Source organism: Homo sapiens, chromosome 12 (genome assembly GCF_000001405.40).
Source record: "Homo sapiens chromosome 12, GRCh38.p14 Primary Assembly".
Classification (NCBI taxonomy): Eukaryota; Metazoa; Chordata; class Mammalia; order Primates; family Hominidae; genus Homo; species Homo sapiens.
The window spans coordinates 11381770-11402881 of NC_000012.12; the positions used below are offsets into that span (position 1 = coordinate 11381770).

Sequence of the window (21112 nt, forward strand, 5' to 3'; positions counted from 1 at the left end):
AATGACTTTCTTCACAGAACTGGAAAAAACTACTTCAAAGTTCATATGGAAACAAACAAGAGCCTGCTTTGCCAAGTCAATCCTAAGCCAAAAGAACAAAGCTGGAGGGCTCCCGCTACCTAACTTCAAACTATACTACAAGGCTACAGTAACCAAAACAGCACGGTATTGGTACCAAAACAGAGATATAGACCAGTGGAACAGAACAGAGCCCTCAGAAATACTGCTGCATATCTACAACCATCTGATCTTTGACAAACCTGACAAAAACAAGAAATAGGAAAATGATTCCCTATTTAATAAATGGTGCTGGGAAAACTGGCTAGTCATATGTAGAAAGCTGAAACTGGATCCCTTCCTTACACCTTATACAAAAATTAATTCAATATCGATTAAAGACTTAAATGTTAGACCTAAAACCATAAAAACCCTAGAAGAAAACCTAAGTAATACCATTCAGGACATAGGCATGGGCAAAGACTTCATCTCTGAAACACCAAAAGCAATGGCAACAAAAGCCAAAATTGACAAATGGGATCTCATTAAACTAAAGAGCTTCTGCACAGCAAAAGAAACTACCATCAGAGTGAACAGGCAACCTACAGAATGGGAGAAAATTTTTGCAATCTACTCATCTGGCAAAGGGGCTAATATCCAGAATCTACAATGAACTCAAACAAATTTATAAGAAAAAAACAAACAACCCCATCAAAAAGTGGGCGAAGGATATGAACAGACACTTTTCAAAAGAAGACATTTATGCAGCCAAAACACACATGAAAAAATGCTCATCATCACTGGTCATCAGAGAAATGCAAATCAAAACCACAATGAGACACCATCTCACACCAGTTAGAATGGCAATCATTAAAAAGTCAGGAAACAACAGGTGCTGGAGAGGATGTGGAGAAATAGGAACACTTTTACACTGTTGGTGGGACTATAAACTAGTTCAACCATTGTGGAAGTCAGTGTGGTGATTCCTCAGGGATCCAGAACTAGAAATACCATTTGACCCAGCAATCCCATTACAGGGTATATACCCAAAGGATTATAAATCATGCTGCTATAAAGACACATGCACACATATGTTTATTGCGGCACTATTCACAATAGCAAAGACTTGGAACCAACCCAAATGTCCAACAATGATAGACTGGATTAAGAAAATGTGGCACATATACACCATGGAATACAATGCAGCCATAAAAAAATGATGAGTTCATGTCCTTTTTAGGGACATGGATGAAGCTGGAAACCATCATTCTCAGCAAACTGTCGCAAGGACAAAAAACCAAACACCTCATGTTCTCACTCATAGGTGGGAATTGAACAATGAGAACACATGGACACAGGAAGGGGAACATCACACACTGGGGCCTGTTGTGGGGTGGGGGGAGTGAGAGAGATAGCATTTGGAGATATACCTAATGTTAAATGACGAGTTAATGGGTGCAGCACACCAACATGGCACATGTATACATATGTAACAAACCTGCACGTTGTTCACATGTACCCTAAAACTTAAAGTATAATAAAAAAAAAAAAAGAAAAAAAGAAAAAAAGAAGTCCAAAGATACTGCATCAATACCGTAAGTTGGATGCCCAGGGATTTTCTCTTTTTTTTTTCTTTCTTCTTTTTTTTCTTTTCTTTTTTGCTTCCATAGATTGAGGAACAGGTGGTGTTTGGTTACATGAATACATTCTTTAGTGGTGATTTGTGAGATTTTGGTGCACCCACCACCCGGGGGTTTACACTGCACCCAATTTGTAGCCTTTTATTCATCACCCCCTTCTCAGCATTTCCTCTAAGTTCCCAAAGTCCATTGTGTCATTCTTATGCCTTTGCATCCTCATAGATTAGCTCCCATTTATGACTGAGAACATACGATGTTTGGTTTTCCATTCCTAAGTTACATCACTTAGAATGATAAGATCAACTTCTGAGACACTTTGGAAACAGCCAAAACTTGAGCAGATAAATGCCCAGAAAAGCTTCAGCAGAGGGTCCTTGTCCATCACAACAATGCTCCTGCTCATTCCTCTCTTGAAACAAGGGCAATTTTACCAGACTTTTGATGGAAAATCCCTAGGCATCCAATCTCATCCATTTTTCTGCTAAAGATTTGACTAAATCTCTCCAAACTCCAAACTGTCTCATAAGTGGTTTTTACCATTCTTTGGCCCTCCAGAAAGTTAACAACCAGAAAACCTTTAGCATCCAAAAACACTGTTGGCATGATATTTGCTTTTGTTGCATTTACTTAGACTAGACCACTTCCACCTCTTGGTAGCCATTGCTTTCATTGTGTTTGTCCCTTTGAATGCCACTGGTAAAGCCATGTTTTATTTCCTGTTACAACTCTTCAAAGAAATGCTTTAGGATTTTTTTTTCTTTTCTTTTCCTTCCTACTTGTTTAATTTGTCACAGAACGTTCTCTTCTTGTCTGTAGCTGACAGGTACAGCAGTTTTGGCCCTCATCAAGTGGCTAGTTTGTTCGTATTTAGTTTTTTAGACAGAAAAAATTATGTAATCTGAATCAATTGTTCTTCTTGTGCTAGCTCTTTTTTCTGCTGTTGATTGTCAGACCTCTTCAATTAGGCCACAAGAAGATACAATTTTTGTCCGTAAGTTAATGTGAAGGGACTACTGCTGCAAGGTTCACCTTCACCATCATTTCAACACTTCTTTTTTTTTAATGTCAAGATCTTTATCTTTTTTATTATTATACTTTAATAATAATAATGGAGAAATAGGAACACTTTTACACGTTGGTGAGACTGTAAACTGGTTCAACCACTGTGGAAGACAGTGTGGTGATTCTTCAAGGATCTAGAACTAGAAATACCATTTGACCCAGCAATCCCATTACTGGGTATATACCCAAAGGATTATAAATCATGCTGCTATAAAGACACATGCACACGTATGTTTATTGCGGCACTATTCACGATAGCAAAGACTTGGAACCAACCCAAATGTCCATCAATGATAGACTGGATTAAGAAAACGTGGCACACACACACCATGGAATACTATGCAGCCATAAAAAATGATGAGTTCATGTCCTTTGTAGGGACATGGATGAAGCTGGAAACCATCATTCTCAGCAAAGTATCACGGGGACAAAAAACCAAACACTGCATGTTCTCACTCATAGGTGGGAATTGAACAATGAGAAAACTTGGACACAGGAAGGGGAACATCACACACTGGGGCCTGCCATGGGTTGGGGGGAGGGGGGAGGGATAACATTAGGAGATATACCCAATGGAAATGATGAGTTAATAGGTGCAGCACACCAACATGGCACATGTATACATATGTAACAAACCCTGTGCACATATACCCTAGAACTTAAAGTATAATAAAAAAAGAAAAGAAAATTAGACCATATCGCATTTGTACATCACATCCATCACAGTTTTTTATTACACTGGTAATCAGATTTGGATTTCATATGCCAGCTCCTTCATACCTATATGACTTTCTCTTTATTGAAAAGTGGGTGATTCTTTGAATAGGACAGAAAGCAGAATCTTCCTCAACTTCATCTTGAACTAGCTTGACTGCAACACAAGAGGGTTGTCTACCAGGAGAGATGAACATTAACAGAGTGGATGGACTTGTGATGTGATCGAGTAAATTGCATGAAGTCCCTATGGTCTGGGAGGGGTTCATGTGTATCAGAGGAATCCTGGTTACACAATTATGATACTGGTTCATATATTTTTATATTATGTTTTGTCTTAAAAACACATATTTCACAATTATTTTGCGGTATTCATATTCTATGAACATATTGTAGCCATGGCTGATTATAGTAAAAATATTTCTTAAGCATTTACTGTATGCCATTTAATCTTCAGAACCAGCTTATCAGGTAAGAATCCTGCATACTACCATCTCAATTTTATAGGTGAGCTGAGTGGGCACAAGCCAAAGTTGCTAAAATAGTAATAAGTGGTAGAGATGGCAGTCAGTCATCAGAGCCTATGTTCTTGCTTACTGTACTCCACCACTTTCTTGCTATTTACTTCTACATTTATTCACTTCCAAGAACGTCAGAAGAAACCAGGTCCAGAAAATAAACTCAGATACAAGTGATAGATAATGGGTAAGGTAAAACATGCCCTGAAAAAGCAGTCATAGAGAAGATATTGAGTATCAGAAACTACATGGAAAAATAGAAGTCAGAAGACAGCCCAACCGTGTTTTTTTGCTGTTGTTTCTTTTGGTTTTGCTTTTAGATGTATGTTTACTAATTAGACCTCAGATGGGGTTGTGTGTTAGTCCATTTCTACTGTAACAACAAGACTGTAGACTGGGTCATGATTAAAGAATAGAAATTTGTTTCCCAATGTTCCGTAGGCTAGGAAGTCTAAGATTAAGGCATCAACAGATTCAGTGTTTGGTGAGGGCTTCTGTTTGCTTCCAAGATGGTTCCTTGTTGCTGTGGTGGAATAAAGGTTTAAAAACTCTAGGTAAAAATAGCAATCAAACTAGAATCCTATATCCATTCAGGTAATCACTTAAGTGTGAAGGTCACATAACACATCTGGCAACACGAAAAACCTTGAAATAGTTTACTTCTCATATGCTGAAGCTATGCTAGCATATGTTTCACAGAAGAAGAAAACCAAGAAACAGGAAGACAGTAACTCAGGATATGCATTATCCTACTTAAAAGGGAGAAATGGGAATTTCCAGGACAAAAGCCAATTATCTGACATTTGAGAGTGAGGAAAATTGTGCTAGGTGGGATTTTGCAGGTCCGTTGGAAGTTGAAGGAAGACTTAGATGTTTTTAAAACAAAGCAAATGATTGAGAAAACAGGTAATTACTAAATTTGTTGTTGGGCATGTAAGTTTTGCAAGGACAGAAAGATAAATGTAATTAACATGTAAATTCAGGCACAGAGTAGTGTTGACATTGGTGACAGTAGAGAACAATCATGAACACAACACAAAGAAAGCCTCCTCATTCTAAAAAAAAGGAAAAAAAATCACTAGTGAAGGGACCTCAGTAGTTGGAGCTGTCATCTGACTTTCTAGCAAGGCTAAGTAGGAGGCAGAAGAACCATGCCTGTCACTCACCACTCTGGTCTCCATATAGAAATCAACTCTAGAACAGTGAGCTTGTTATAGAGGTCAGGTGCAGACTGAAGAATTGGAGGTGGGAGACTTTTCCTTCTTCTCTGTAGGTGTCTACTCCTCTGTTGCCCCCAAGGGGAGAGATGTTTAGAGATTCACTCCATAGAGCTGCTTCACATGGCAGCTGGGTGTTCCCAGTGCAAGTGCTGTCTGAGAGAAGGAGACAGAGGAAGAGAAAGAGACAGAGAGAAGGGGCGAATTGAAAAATAAAAGATGAAGCCACAGTTTCAATTTTAACTTAATCTCAGTGGTAACATACCACCATTTCTGCCATATTTTGCTGGTCACAGAAACCAATCCTGATATAATGTGGTGGGGACTACATAAGAGTGCTAATATTAGATAGTAGGAATATTGCATATGACTATCTCAAAGTGACAATGATTTGATAAATCATTAAAGAAAGTTTAAGAGAATAAGGGGTTCTGTGTATTCAAAGAAGACTTTAATGTGGGAAGATGTGAGCATACTTGAATAAAATGCAAACACATGCTTGATAAAGTTAGGAACAAACTTAGTATGTTGAAAGAATGTTAACAAGGCCAACTGTAGTGTCCAAAGAAATCAACAGATTCAATCTTTATCAAAATATCAATGTCATTTTTCACAGAATTGGTAAAAAATAATCCAACATTACTTACAGAAGGAAAACATAAGAGCCAAAAGACCCAAAGCAATCCTAGGCAAAATAAACAAATTTGGAAGTGTCGCATTGCCTGAATTCAAATTATACGACAAGACTGCAGTAATGAAAACAGGATATGACTGGTCTAAAAATAGGCACATAGATCAATGGAACAGAGTAAAAGATCCAGAAATAAAGCAACATATTTGCAGGCAACTGATCTTTGACAAAGCAGACAAGAACGCACACTTGGGAAACATCACTCATTTCAATAAATGATGCTGAGAAAATTGGATTGCCATATGCAGAAGAATGAAACTGGAACACTATCTCTCACATCTCTCATATAGAAAAATAACTCAGGATGGATTAAAGACTTAAATGTAAAATGTGGGCATATATTAATACAAGAAGAAAACTTCTGGACATTGGCTGAGAAAAGAACTTATGACTAAGACGTCAAAGCACAGGCAACAAAAATCAAATTGGACAAATGGCACTTAATTTATCTAAAATATTTTACAAGCAAAATAAATCAACAGTGTCAACAGGCAACATGCAGAGGGAAAATATTTGTAAACTATGCATCATACAGGGAACTAATATGCAGAGTATACAAGGAACTCAAACTACTCAGCAACAACAACAAAAAATCAATTAAAAATAGACAAAGGACATGAATAGATGTGTTTCAAAAGAATACATACAAACAGCCAACAGTAAATGAAAACATGTTCAACATCTCTAATCATTAGAGTAATGTGAATGAAAACCACAATGAGATATCATCTTACCTCAGTCATAATGACTATTATTAAAAGGGTGAAAAATAACAGCTGTTGGCAAGGATAGGGAGAAAGGAGAACTCTTAAACACCCTTGGTGAGAATATACATTAGTACAGCTTCTATGGAAAACAGTATGATTTCTCAAAGAACTAAAACTAGAACTACATTTCCATTGAGCAATCCTACTACTGGGTATCTCCTCAAAGGAAAAGTAGTCAATGTATCAAATATATACATTTATCTGTATGTTTATTGTAGCAACATTCACAGTAACAAAGATATTGAATCTACCAATGTATCTGTCAATGAATGATTGGATTAAAAAATGTAAATATATATACACAATACCATACTACTCAATTACAAAGAGAGAATGAAATCACACATATTGTGACAATATGGATGGAACTGGGAGTCATTTTCTTAAGCCAAAGAGGCTAGATACAGAAAATCAAATATAACACGTTCTCACTGTTAAGTGGTTGCTAAAGAATGTGTCTGCATGGATGTAGAGAGTGAAATGATAGACAAAGAACACTTGGGAGTATGGGAGGCAGAGCGGTTGTATAGTGAGGTATTAATAAATGTAGTGTTTGTTATTTGAGTGAGGAATACCCTAATGCTGTGACTTAAGTACTATGTAATCTATGTAACAAAATCAAAACTTGTATTTGTTCAAAAATATTTTTTTAATTAACAGAAAATCTAAGCATACTGCTTCCATACCCCACCATAAAAAAAAGACAATGACCAGCGTGGCCATAGCAGAATGAATTAGGTGTAGAGCATCCCCCAATTCCACAGAGAGTTAGGACTGAATACATCGGACTTTAGCATAGGTAAAAATTAGCAGGTGGGCGCACTGGCTCACCTCTGTAATCCCAGTGCTGTGGGAGTATGAGGCAGGTGGTTCCCAAGGTCAGGAGTTCAAGACAAGCCTGGCTAACTTAGTGAAACCCCTACTCAACTAAAAATACAAAAATTTAGCTGGGTGTGGTTGCGCACACCTGTAATCCCAGCTATTCAGGAGGCTGAGGCAGTAGAATCACTTGAACCCAGGAGGCAGAGGTTGTAGTGAGCTGAGAACTTGCCACTGCACTCCAGCCTGGGAAACAGAGGAAGACTCTGTCTAAAAAAAAAAAATACTGTCTGGTTCTTATAGAGTAAAAGTGGTGGCAATCAACTGGAAAACATAGAAAAGTAATATAATTTTTAAATGGCCAAGGTGGGTAATTGACTGTTGGGAAATAAATAGAACTATTTGGTGTAAACTGCAGGTGAGGCTTGCTTAGAGGGGCTGATAGAGATGAAAGTGATGAAACTGGCTGCAGTAGGAAATTATTTTGAAGCTTGAACGTCACAAAGATAACATAGCTGATTTGACTAGATGTAATGTGATGAAAGAGGAAAAGAGAAGAGTCAAGAATAAATCCTAGTTTGCTTAATTAATTAAATGAATTCTTTACCAAGACCAAAAAGAGCTGGAAGAGGAAGAACTTTGTAGCTGTAGGAGGGAAGAGGCAGAGATAGGAGAAACCCTAGGAGAGAGGGGGAGGCTCCTGGAAAGATTGATAGAGTGTTCCCAAAAGAAGGGTAGGATCAGTGGTGTTAAACTGCTGAGGGGTCACAGGAGATGCGGGACTGAGAGTTGATTCCTGAAATGAGTAGAATGGAGGCAGTAGATGATCTTTACAGACTTGAAGTGAAAAGAACAAAAGCATCTATAACGTGTACATATGAAAAATTTGGAGGTGGGGGAATGGGGAAATAATCACATACATACGTTTCAAGAACTTTTCCAATAAAAATGGCAGGCAAATAATATGGTGGGAAAGAAGCACTAAGAGTCTTAGGAAGACTTCTGTGGAAATGGGTGATGTTTCAGCAGGCTTTTGCTGATTGAAGTAATCCCATAGAGCATAGATGTAACAATCACAAGACAAAAGGGTCACATGCAGAAGCAAAATCCTTGATTGGGCAATGTGGTTCAGAATCAAGTGGGAAGGTGAGAGATAGGGGTAGGAATGCTTCACCTATGATAATAGGAGAGAAGCCAGAGACCAGGGCTGCAACTGGGTTGCTCAACTTAGTGGTGGTTATGGTGAGATCATTCTGTTCGGATTTTTCCGACTTCTTAGTGAATTATCTGAGGCTATCGGTGGGCACAGGGGCAGTTTTCTAATATTGAACCTTCCTTGCTTGAGAAGCAGACATGCCAGTCTCTGCAATGTTTTTGGTATATATGTTATCTCATTAGTTTCCATACTCTAAGGTAGTTGTTATGATTATTCTCATTTTAGATGAGGAATTTGAAGCCCTGAGAGTCTAAGTAAACTTTTAAGACTCCAGAGATAGTAAGAAAAACAGTTAGGTCTTAATTAAAACCTGAGAGTGTCCAAAATTTTTGCTTCTTAAAATCATGCTGTCTCTTTAATGAAGTCCATTCAGGTTTCGTTGAAGAAAGATGAGGAAAATAGGAAGGGAGAGAAGTGATCACTGTTAAAATAGGGTCAATGAGATAGAGAGGGTTCTGGGGATAAGAAGCATAGACCCATATTCATTCCCTTGAAACCAAACTCAGCTTCTTAGAAATTATAAGGATCTCTTTCAGCTTCTGTGACTTTTTTGCATTTGTTGTGTTTTCTGTCCTTAAGATCACTGGAATATCAGTAAACAATCAGAAAATAATTTTAAAATTTCAATTTATGCTGTAGAAGTCATGGAAGGGCCAGGCATGGTGGCTCGCACCTATAATCCTGGAAGTTTCAGAGGCCGAGGAAAGCGGATCACCTGAGGTCAGGAGTTGGAGACTAGCCTGGCCAACATGGTGAAACCCCGTTTCTACTAAAAATACAAAAATTAGCTGTGCATGATGGTGGGCATCTATAATCACAGATACTTAGAAGGCTGAGGCAGGAGAATAGCTTGAACCCAGGAGATGCAGAAGGCAGTGAGCCGAGATCGTGCCACTGCACTCCAGCCTGGGTGAAAAAAGCTCCATCTTGGAGGAAAAAAAATAGAAGTCAGGGAAGTAGAGAAACAGTAAAACCTTTTTGCATGGCAGCTGGCTAAATTAGGATTAAGGAGGAGGGAAACTTCCCGGAGCATCAAGGAAAAGGGTTCCTAGATATTCGTGTAATGTCTTCTCTTGGTCCTCAGATCCCACATTCACAAATATTGAGAAACAGACACCACAATCAGAAATTGCAAGCTAATTATTTTATTGGTATACAGAAGTTAGAGCTATGATGACCTTTTTCCAATGTCATGGCATTTGAATCATTTGAATCACTCTCATCTTCTTATTCACTTCCTGAAACAAACAAACAAGGAAGTTCATAGACCAGACTTGACATGGCAGGAAATGTCGAATTCCTCACTGGTCTTACTGCACTACAGTACATGAGAGCCCATCCTCTCTCCCCCTATCCCTTCTACCTCCTGTGTTTCCTCCCTAATTTTTTGTGTGTTCACTCTTTGGATGCCCTTGCACAAAATGTGCTCCAAATTGTTCCTTACGTGATGAAGACAGAAGATCATTCTTAGCTTATTATTACTTGCTGCTGAATTTGTTCACAGATATATTTACACAGATGGGAACTGGAACATATTTTATAACAGTGAGAAGCTGAAACCACCCTCAGTGTCCAGTGACACAGATTGGTTAAAGAAATCACGGTGCAGCCACATAATGGAGTAGTATAAAATGGTAAAAACAAACAGATAACCACTGAAGAGATCTACTTAGCTTCATAGACGTATGTGGAAATTTTCAAAGAAATGTATTTTTTAAATGACTAACATATGTACCTGAATATAAATTATGGTATTAGTTCTGGGGGAAAAATATTCTAGTAGTCTATGTACACATAAATATTTCAAACAGAAGATGCCATAAAGTTAACAGTGGCAGTTTTCTGAAGGAGGGGAGGCAGGTAGGATGAGTCATGCCTTTAAATTTAGATTCATATTTTTCCATTGCATTAGATATTTTTTGTTAGCTTAATCATGTACTTATTGAACAGTAAGAATTTGAAAAATGAGACACCATTTAGCTGCTGAAAGTTCAGGGACCACTTGGCAGGAATACTGGACTCAAGAGGCTGGTGTGAGGCAGGACTGAGCAAACAGTGCTCAGGTGAAAACTTTAAATGGGAGGTCTCTCAGTTTGTGCACAGAAAACAGAGCGCCAGAGAGAACATGGTACTACTTCCTTGTTGCCAACACAACTTAAGACAGATTATTTGGAATTTTGTTTCTCAACATCAGAATTCCTTAAAGAGTTTGTTACAAATATAGGATCTTGTTACCCATTTCCAGAATATGTCAATACAAATCTTTAGAAATGGGATCTGGGACTATACAATGCCAATGGGCTTTTAGCTGATTCATTGGCACAATAAAGCTGGAGAGCTGTAGCAATTAGAGCACTTGGTGAAGAATAAACTGGAATCATACCTGTCATTGAATCCTAGATGACTGGGGAGGCTGTCACTGGGGAGGTCTGGAAGGTCTGCCCCCTTGAGGAGGGCGTGGTGGTCCCTGGGGCTGTCCAGCAGGAGGTGCCTGAGGCTGCTGGGGATTGCCTCCTGCTGGAGGTGGGGGACCTTGAGGATTGTTGCCTTCTTGTTGGGGTGGTCCTTGTGGCTTTCCTGGAGGAGATCGGGCACTTCGGGACTTGCTGCCTCCTTGTGGGGGTGGTCCTTGTGGCTTTCCTGGAGGTGGGGGACCTTGAGGTTTGTTGCCTCCTTGTGGGGGTGGTCCTTGTGGCTTTCCTGGAGGAGGTGGGGGACCTTGAGGCTGGTTGCCTCCTTGTGGGGGTGGTCCTTGTGGCTTTCCTGGAGGAGATCGAGAACTTCGGGACTTGCTGCCTCCTTGTGGGGGTGGTCCTTGTGGCTTTCCTGGAGGTGGGGGACCTTGAGGTTTGTTGCCTCCTTGTGGGGGTGGTCCTTGTGGCTTTCCTGGAGGAGGTGGGGGACCTTGGGGCTGGTTGCCTCCTTGTGGGGGTGGTCCTTGTGGCTTTCCTGGAGGAGATCGGGCACTTTGGGACTTGTTGTCTCCTTGTGGGGGTGGTCCTTGTGGCTTTCCTGGAGGTGGGGGACCTTGAGGTTTGTTGCCTCCTTGTGGGGGTGGTCCTTGTGGCTTTCCTGGAGGAGGTGGGGGACCTTGGGGCTGGTTGCCTCCTTGTGGGGGTGGTCCTTGTGGCTTTCCTGGAGGAGATCGAGAACTTCGGGACTTGTTGTCTCCTTGTGGGGGTGGTCCTTGTGGCTTTCCTGGAGGTGGGGGACCTTGAGGTTTGTTGCCTCCTTGTGGGGGTGGTCCTTGTGGCTTTCCTGGAGGAGGTGGAGGACCTTGAGGCTGGTTGCCTCCTTGTGGGGGTGGTCCTTGTGGCTTTCCTGGAGGAGATCGGGGACTTCGGGACTTGTCTCCTTGTGGGGGTGGTCCTTGTGGCTTTCCTGGAGGTGGGGGACCTTGAGGTTTGTTGCCTCCTTGTGGGGGTGGTCCTTGTGGCTTTCCTGGAGGAGGTGGGGGACCTTGAGGCTGGTTGCCTCCTTGTGGGGGTGGTCCTTGTGGCTTTCCTGGAGGAGATGGGGGACCTTGAGGTTTGTTGCCTCCTTGTGGGGGTGCTCCTTGTGGATTTCCTGGAGAACAAAGAGAGAAGAGAAAGACAGAGTAAAAGCCCATACAAGATTCCCTGAATAGTTGCAGTAAATTTTTATCAGTTTGGGTAACAAGCTGAGTGGGGAAACACACAAAAATGAGACCAAGACATTAATTTCTTTGCATTTCAGTGAAGACATAGAACTCTGGAGTGGAGCGCCAGGGAAGAACAAAGCAGTTGAGGGCCTCTCATTATAAAGAGGAGACAGAATGAGGATGCTGCCCATTTGTCTGTCATCTCCCAGCAGGCACTCCTGGCCAGGGGGATGAGGTAACCCACTCCTGCTGTCATCTAAGCCAAGCATCTCTGCCGTTCAATTTGGTGGCCTGCTCATGATGCCCAGAATCAAGGTTGCATGAAGAGTGCCTATATTATTAGGAGCACTAACATTAATCAATTCCCGAAAGGAAAGTTTTGATAAGAAGACACTGGAGAACTGATCCATTCATAAGCAGAAAAAGACAGTCAGAACAGATTGAGAATGAATCGGGATTTACCTGCTATTAGGGAGGGAGATTCTTCCTGGCTGACATCTAGAAGAGAAGCACAGGATGATGGGAACAGTTACATCTTGAACCTTACAAGACTCACAAGTGTTCTACAGGGAAAACAGACTTCTCACCACACCCCATGCATCCCCTAAGTTAACTCATCAGCCACCATCTGTGAAGCTGCTGGAAGGGGAGGAAGGTGTAAGGGGAGGCAGGGTTGTTATGACAGAGCAACAGCCATGAACTCAACATAGAAGAGCCCCTTTTTTCCCTCCCTAGCATCCCTCAAGACTTAATGCTAATTTAGTTCACAAATGCCAGGTACTTCAATGTGATATTTTGGTGTTCTTATGCCCTCCATCTCCTATAAATACATTGCTTATGTACACATGCTTTCTCAATTGGGGTAACCAGAAGTAATCATTTCAATACAATCTTACCCATACCACTCCCAGCACATTGAAATACTGCGTGTAAGGGAGAGAAAAATGACAATGATTGGCTCTGATATTTCTGTATCTCTAGTTAAACAGAGACAAGTGTTCCATCCAATTCTCTGTCTCTGCAGTATCTCTGATACTGTGTGTGTCTATCGCCGTCATCGATGCTGATGCACTGTACAGCAAGGCCACCATCATCCCTGTGTACTTACTGAGATCAGTTTAGGATCTTCACAGCTGGACTTCCATGAATCTGCCTTGCATTCTCTACTGCATCCTTCACAGCACAGTTCTATCTATAAATGCAAATCTTACCTTCTCATTCCCCTGGAACAAATTCTTTATTGGATTTCATTGTACATTAAATAAATTAGAAACTCTTATTGTGGAATGAGGGCACAACAAGTCTCCTGATCCTAGGCATGAAAACTCTGCAGCCCCATCTGTGTTTTCATTCTCCTCTCTTCCCCGTAATTACCATTATCACCTCCTAAGCCCCAAGCAGAGTCACCACATCTTCTCCCCCTTCTGTTTTACCTTCATTTAAGTTCTGAGCTGAGCTCAGGGCCAGCAAGGCCACTGACAGCAGAATCAACAGCATCTTGCAGGAGGCTCTGGAGTCACTCCCAACTCTGTGCTGGGAGGAACGTGGCAACTCCCTTTATAAAGAGGAGAAGAACAATGGCACCTTTGAGCTCCACACTGGGTGGGCCTCACCACCTCAGAGACTGGCTTCTGCTTTGCTCACTGCAGGTCAGGTGTTTCCTTTATTTTTCTTTGAGACTCTAGCCCAGAGAGATGAGTTGGATAGGATATGTTGTTAGTGTCTTATTTCCAAAAGGTACAACTATGACTTGAACAATGGTTTTGAAGGAACTGTGTCCAAGCCATCAGCACTGTGTCATCACTGAACTTTAGATATCATTAGAGTTTCAATCTTTTAGGTAAGACTATCATCCACTTTCCACTGTGCTATTTATTTCTGTTTATGTGTGTGTGAGCAGCGATGCTACAACCAGCAGTGAAGATGGTCAATATCTCTGGATATTATTATGCCCTATTTCCATCTCTTGTGATGTGTGTGTACAGATATTTTCATATTTAGCTCAATTTTTGATGTGATAGAGATGGTTTCTGCTATCTATGAGATGTGTGAGGACAGCACACTTCTGTGCACACATAGATGACAGAAAGCTGCCCCGCAGCCTGCTCAGGATAGGGCTATTGTTCAAGTTTCTGTGGATCTCACTCAGCTGAGGCAAGGCTTGGTCCTGTACAACACAGGAAGTCTAAAATTTTGTATTCTAAAGTAATTTTAGAGGTTATTAACGCAAAATGGACACAGAAACCACCAGGAAATTTCTAGACCTGAGAAAACTGAATACATAGTTCTGTGAGGGAGCCATGCGATGTCATGTTGCTAAAATTTCCTTCATGCTCTTCCCTTTCTCTAGAATATTCTATAAAATTCACCCACTGCTTCATTTCTTTTAGGAATTATATCGAATTCTTACCACTGATAATTAAGTGGCCACAATTCTACATTCAAATAAGATAATCAGATACCACCATCAAACCCTCAATTGCATTCTATTGGTTTTATTGGTTTAGTCAGTATTTGTGTTACCTGTTTTCTCAGATTCTTCTTCCACGAGTATTTTTCTACAATATTCTGATATGCATTCCTCCCCACGTTCTTTCTAGTACTTCTTTTACATATTTTATTTTCTGAGTCAAGCTCATTATGTGTATCTTTTATTATGTAGCTGGCTTTTCCCCATGAATTTGGTGAGATTTCCTTTATTTAATCTTTTAAGTAATAGGATATATACTCCTCACCATCTTTTTTCATTCCTGTCTGTGTAATTTCACAATAAATGTTGTGTTTCCAAAAAGCCCTCTCAGAGTCCTGCATTGTTAGCACTTCTTTTAGCTGCTGGTTCTTCTCTTATATCTGGTAAATCCCTGCTCATCAGTTCATGGAATATACAGGTTAGTCAGTATCAACAGCTGCCATTTACCACTTAGACCTTCTGTGTGTCTTGTGTAATTGTTCACATTTTGTGCATGGCTGGTGTTAATTTGAGAACAGATTGGTGGGAGGTATGATGGGGGTAGAGAGGGTATGTGACAGTAAATCCTAAAGACAGGCCTCTTGACCGTTGTGGATGAGTGGATCCTGTGCTGTGCACATGAGGGTCTGGTCTGGCCCTTCTGAAGAGTTGCGGATATTAGTACAGGGAGACTTCCTAATACAAAAGGCTTTGCTATGCATAACTTTGCCCTTGCAGGGGAACCAGGCAGATTGGTATTTTCCCTGGCATAAATATAGACATACTTCAAAGGGGAATACATTACTAATTGGCAGTTCTTTCTGGCTCTATGGAAAGTGGATTGGTTCTAGCTGAGCTTCATGAGTTTTATCTTAGGCAGGGAGTAGTTGCTTGGTCCCAGCAGATCCCAGTGCTTTGTTGAGATTTGTGTCTCTGGTCTCACAGACACTGTTTTCCATAGGAAATGGAAATGAACAATCCTGCCTAGCTGGCTTAAGCTAGACCATCAGGTAGCAAAGGAATGTCAGAGACAAGGAGCAACAAAGAGGCACGGATGACATTGCCTGATTATGTCACCAACTGAGGTTGCTACAGCCTGATGCAAGACAGACTTCCCCTTGGCAGGAGAGTACAGGAAGAGAACAGAAATGCCCCTAAAGGTCACTCATTTCAGGCCCTTTCCCTGGTCTTCTCCAGTGTCAGCAATGAGTAAAGTTTTTCAGGAAAGCATAAATATAAGCTATGCACTCACCAGACAAAACAAAAAAGAGGTGATGGAAATGTGGAAAGGGATACCGTCTGTGACTGAATGTGGGTGGAAGAGAGAAGCAGGACTGCAGCAGGAGCTTGGGCACCTATATGTGAGTGGCAGCCCTCAGCACTCCACTTGCCTTCTAATATCCATGTTCATATTCTCAGGTCCAGAAGGAACAGTCTTCAACATATGAAATTTTAGGAACACAGTTCAGCTCTCATAACAGCTCCCAACCTTTTCTAAGTCAAGTGTTCAGTGGTTCAAAACTCCTCACTCCCTTCAGGCACTGCCCTTTAGCAAATCGAGTTGCTTCCACTTTCAACACTCATCCCAAATACAACAACTTGCATAATCTTTACTAGAAGGTGATAGTTCAGGCCATGATGCTCTCTCCTGAAGAAGTTTAATATCCTCAGCTGCTCTTGGTAACATTCCTACCCCAGCACATCCCATATCCATTCCCCTCACATCAGTCACAGTGATCATTGAAAAGTAGGAATTAGATCATAACACTTTTGTGCTTCAAATGCTCTTAGGATTTTCTTCTGCACTTGTAATAAGATCCAAACTTCATGCCTCAGCTCTCTCACACCCACACATCTCCCTCTTTTTGAAGACGCGGAAGCTCTGTGAATGGAACAGAAAGCCAAATCCTCCTCAACTTACTGTGTTCATTGGGTAAACCAACCATTCTGATAACACAGTTGTGTTTGAGAATTCAGCGTTGCTTTGACTTTTCTAAAAACTTTGGTTACACTAGTAGGATCTTCATCTTTACATTTTTATTTGATGTTGATGCTCTCTAATATATATATATTTCACAATTATTTGAGCATATTTATATTCTTTCCATTTATCCTAGCAAAGGCTGATTATAATAGAAAACATTTCTTCAGCATTTACTATATGATATTCAATGTTCAGAACCATCATATTAGGGAGGTGTGATGATTATTATTATCTTAATTTTGTAGATGAGGTAATTTAGGTGCGTGTCTAGGTTCATATAAAGGTAGTAAGTGGAATGGAAGGCAGTCAGTTCTCAGATCTGAGTTCTTGCCTACTGTGCTCCAGTGGTTACTTGCTCTTCATTCATTCATTTCTCTAAAAGAAAGTGAAAGGAAATGAGATTCAGAGAACAAAAACAAGTTTCTCTTAGAATATTGTCAAGGTTAAATTTTCCTGAGACGTTAACAGCTAATGTGACTAAAAATATATTTTCCTGAGTAAACATGTTTGTTTGAAATCATAATCCCATTTAAACATATTCTAGTCTTCCGCTTTACCGCTTGCATTTATATAAAGACACTCAGAGGAATTAATTCCTTTTTTTTTCTAATTACAAAACCCTGTCAATGTAGATCCTGTATGTCCTTCCTTAATCCATGCTACATGCATTTTTCTTGGGTGGCGTATTAGCATTGACAAAATTTGTGTATGCCCTTTTAAATTGACTAAATTTGATCCTTCTAATCACAATGGATCTAAAATTCTAGAAATCCAAGAGGGAGCCTGGTCAGAGAGTTGTCTAAGAAAGGATAAACTATATACCACTTACATAACTTTCAGTCTTCTGCATGAAGATGTCACCTGTGTCCTGGCCCCAGAGCTGGTGTTCCACCCTCAGTGATTGGGGCCATAGAAGGCATTGGTCATCAGCCTAAGGTCAAGTGTCTGTAGCCTCATCACACCACTGTTATCACAATGTCAGAGTGTATTCTTCAGCTTTCAGTTAAACATCCTATCAGTTCATAGAGAAGTACAATCACAACTTATCTCATAAGAAATACAAAGCAATGTATGTCACCCTCATATTTTTCTGATCATGTACAAAGTCGGTAAGATGATAGGAATTTCATTAAAGTGATTAATCAATGACTCATTTATTAAACCCATAAACCTGTACCTATCTCTTTCAAAAGATGTTGTCTCCTCTGCTTAAGAACCACGAATTATTACTGTATTTCATTGATTTTGAAGTCCACATGTATGCATATTTATCATCTTGGAAATTGTTTTTAAAATATGATCACGACAGAATCATTCATCCAATGTTTTCTTCTTACAATGGTACCTTGATCTCCTCTCTTGAAGGGCTGAGGTCTGCTTTTACCTCCTTGGAGCTTGGGTAGAACTTCATTACTGCCATGACCAGTAGATTATATCAGAAGTGATACTTTGTGACTTTTGAGTCTGTATCATAGAAATGCCATGCAATTCCAAATTGTTCTTTATGGAACCTGACACATGCTGTGAGGATGTCCATGCTGTGAGACAGAGATAGAACATTCATTTTAAAAATGATTGGATCAAAACTGTCTCTAAACAATATTCAATAACCGAGTTTGTTTCAGTGACCCATTTGCTACCTATATCGTATATTATATTTCAACACATGCATGGCTACATAGCTAAAGATATATGGATCATTCCTTTCTATCTTGCATAGTGATGTTTCTGATGCCTTAGCTCTTCTAGTACTTACAATAGCACTTTGAGGATTTTTTGCATTTATGTTCACTTTTCAAAGTTAGAGATAAAATCTTAATGTGATTGAGTGACTTTCCCTAACACATACACTTCATAGGGAACAGCATAAGAAAAAGAAATGAAGGAGACAGACAGAGAGAGAGACAGAGAGAGAGAAATGAGACAATGACCTTATTCATGAGAACAATGTAAAATACCTAGGATCAAATAGCAAGAAATGCACAGGATTCAGTTGAAGAAGAATGATCAAACTTTGATGCAGAATATGCACTAAAATGTACATACATGTAAATTTCTGCACATGAAAATGCTATATTCAAATAGGACAAATTTTCCAGGTGTTCTGGCAAAAATTGCACAACAGTCCCCTCTTCATGTCTGATTTTGGCTTTGCTCAATCACAAACTCTGTTATTTTTCTATTTGTCATTCCAATTCCACAGTTTTGTTTACATTTGTTGTTTATTGTCATCTCTTCTTTCATTCTCCTCAATCTTGGGTATTAATTTCTGCTGTGCTTCTTTATTGTAATTTTGTTGGGACATTGGGAAAGGGCAGAAATCAGTCCATGTGTTCAATGCACTGTGCATTCCAATACCCTGAGTATAGAGATAAATTCCTTATCACAGTTTATAGCAGGTTCTACAGATGATCTTTTTGTTTATGACTCTTTCTATATAAGTGTATTCAAGTGACTTTACAAGGCAGACTGCTGTTACCTGTGTTCCTAATTTTATCAGAAGAATATGCCACTGTCTTTTCTTTCCTGGCTGCATTAAATGTAACATGACCATGACTTGATAATCACATGGTTATTTTTTACAACATTATTGAGTAAACATCTGGCAACAATCTTAAATATTGAATACATTTTTATACTCTAATATACTAACAAATATAATTTTTTAAAAACAAATGTACATTGTTTCAAGTCTATTACTTATCCATCTTTGGAATTGCCAAAGCAAATCTCTCCATATTATTAAAAAAAAAAAAAAAAAACTTTTGTGCCTTCTAGTAAACAGACATAGAAACAGAATTTTATGATATGATACATAAAAGAGTTTGTATTTATCTTACATTTTTGCTAACCTTACTTTTTAGCTAAGCTTTTGTCTATATTTGAATTTTCTTGATGGAAACATGCCTTTGTACATTTTTATTGAGCAATTAAAGGCTTATTTAACTAGTCAACCTAACAACATTGACATACGGTTTTTGTCAGATTGGAATGATCTACAAAGCTTCTGAAGCTTGAACTTTGGGGTCCTTCATGTGCACAGGCCCTTCCCAAGATCCTGTTTAGAGTGAACAGAATACAGAGATTTAGAAGGTTCATGAAATAGCAGTGGTCTTCTTTATGCCGACTCCTTTACTCAAGCCTTTATGTATTTTTCTGTCTTCCACTGACCCATGGGGATCATAAGATTTCAAGACCTTCTCCTCCCTAAAACAAACTCCAATCATTTGAGGGATATCTGAATTTTTTTCTGAAAAGAAGACTTGGGAATACCTATAGAAGCAAATTTCTAAATAATCTGATTCTTATGTCTACAAATAATGGCTATCTTCCTGCACTGCTGTAAATGTACTGTGCCATTGCAGATTATACATGGAGGAATCTAAAGAGTGTACTGTAGTGGTGACTGAAGGGCCTATTGAAATGAGGTACAGCTATAGATTCTTGCTCTTCCACTAGTTTTTCCCTTGAAGAACATACTCCCTGCACAATGGCACCTTCCCTTAGTATTTGTAGTGTTTCTACCTTTAAGCATGGAAGGAATGGTCAATGTTAGCAATGTTTTCTTTTCTTTACAATTTACGGCGGGGTAAGGACAATTCTCATGTTTGACTATAAAAGCAAGGGCAGCTTCATGGCCCTAATCCATTTGGGCATTTCTGCTGGTGTCCTGGATCCATCTATCTCCACATCTGTGTATCCAGAGATGGTGCTGACTGTGGCAATTACCAATTCATGGAGGTTCTTTGATTTTTAATAGGAAGAGTGATTTCCCCAGAGGTTTTCTCTTTAAATGAAGACATTCCTTCCCTGATTTCTGGGACATACCACTGTTGTTTATTCTGAAGAGTCCATGACTGGAACATCAGGGAAGGCCACAGATTTTTGTATTCTTTCTTTATTCAGGCTCTTTGGTTTTCCTTGGGAGGGATTCTACAACAGACTTACTAAGTGAGACTCTGAAACTCTGCCCCTATTTTGTACCCTTCTCCCCCAGGCATCTTGTTCGCTTAGCTGAGTACACTCTTGGGAAGAAGAGAGAATATGGTGGTAGCTCATGAGGACACGTCCAGTTTGCTTCCACAGCCTAAGACTCAACTGAATAAACACCTGAAATCTAAGTCTCCCTAAAGGTGTGCAACAGCTTTGGGGGATCTTTAACCATTTACCTCCTGTTATCTTTGGAATGGAGCAAAAACTAAAAGTGTTACATGGGAAGTTTGTTTCAATTCTACCACCTGGTACTCAGTTTACAAGCATTTCCCAATCCTACTTCTTAATGAGTTATATAAAAGGAGAAGATTTATTGACCATTTGTCATACATTTTGGTCAACATGTCAGTTATTGATATGTATTTTTTACATTATTAACTGAAGAAAAATGGATGCCTTTTACAAACGTTATAAGATTACAAA

General features: G+C 39.7%; 1 protein-coding gene and 1 long non-coding RNA gene across 2 annotated transcripts; both read right to left on the reverse strand.

Annotated features, from left to right (window-relative positions):
• Positions 1-9770: 9770 nt before the first annotated feature.
• On the reverse strand, positions 9771-13798 carry PRB2 (proline rich protein BstNI subfamily 2). The gene is made up of 4 exons (NM_006248.4): positions 13697-13798; positions 12726-12761; positions 11025-12208; positions 9771-9879 (listed from the first exon to the last, which is right to left on the reverse strand). The coding sequence occupies exons 1-3, from the start codon at positions 13758-13760 to the stop codon at positions 11058-11060; spliced, it is 1251 nt and encodes a 416-aa protein (NP_006239.3). The 5' UTR covers positions 13761-13798; the 3' UTR covers positions 9771-9879; positions 11025-11057.
• Positions 13799-16867: 3069 nt separating this feature from the next.
• LOC124902878 (uncharacterized) lies at positions 16868-18119 on the reverse strand. The gene is made up of 3 exons (XR_007063211.1): positions 18042-18119; positions 17526-17708; positions 16868-17071 (listed from the first exon to the last, which is right to left on the reverse strand). It is a non-coding gene; the product is annotated as an uncharacterized LOC124902878 (long non-coding RNA).
• Between the last annotated feature and the right edge of the window lie 2993 nt (positions 18120-21112).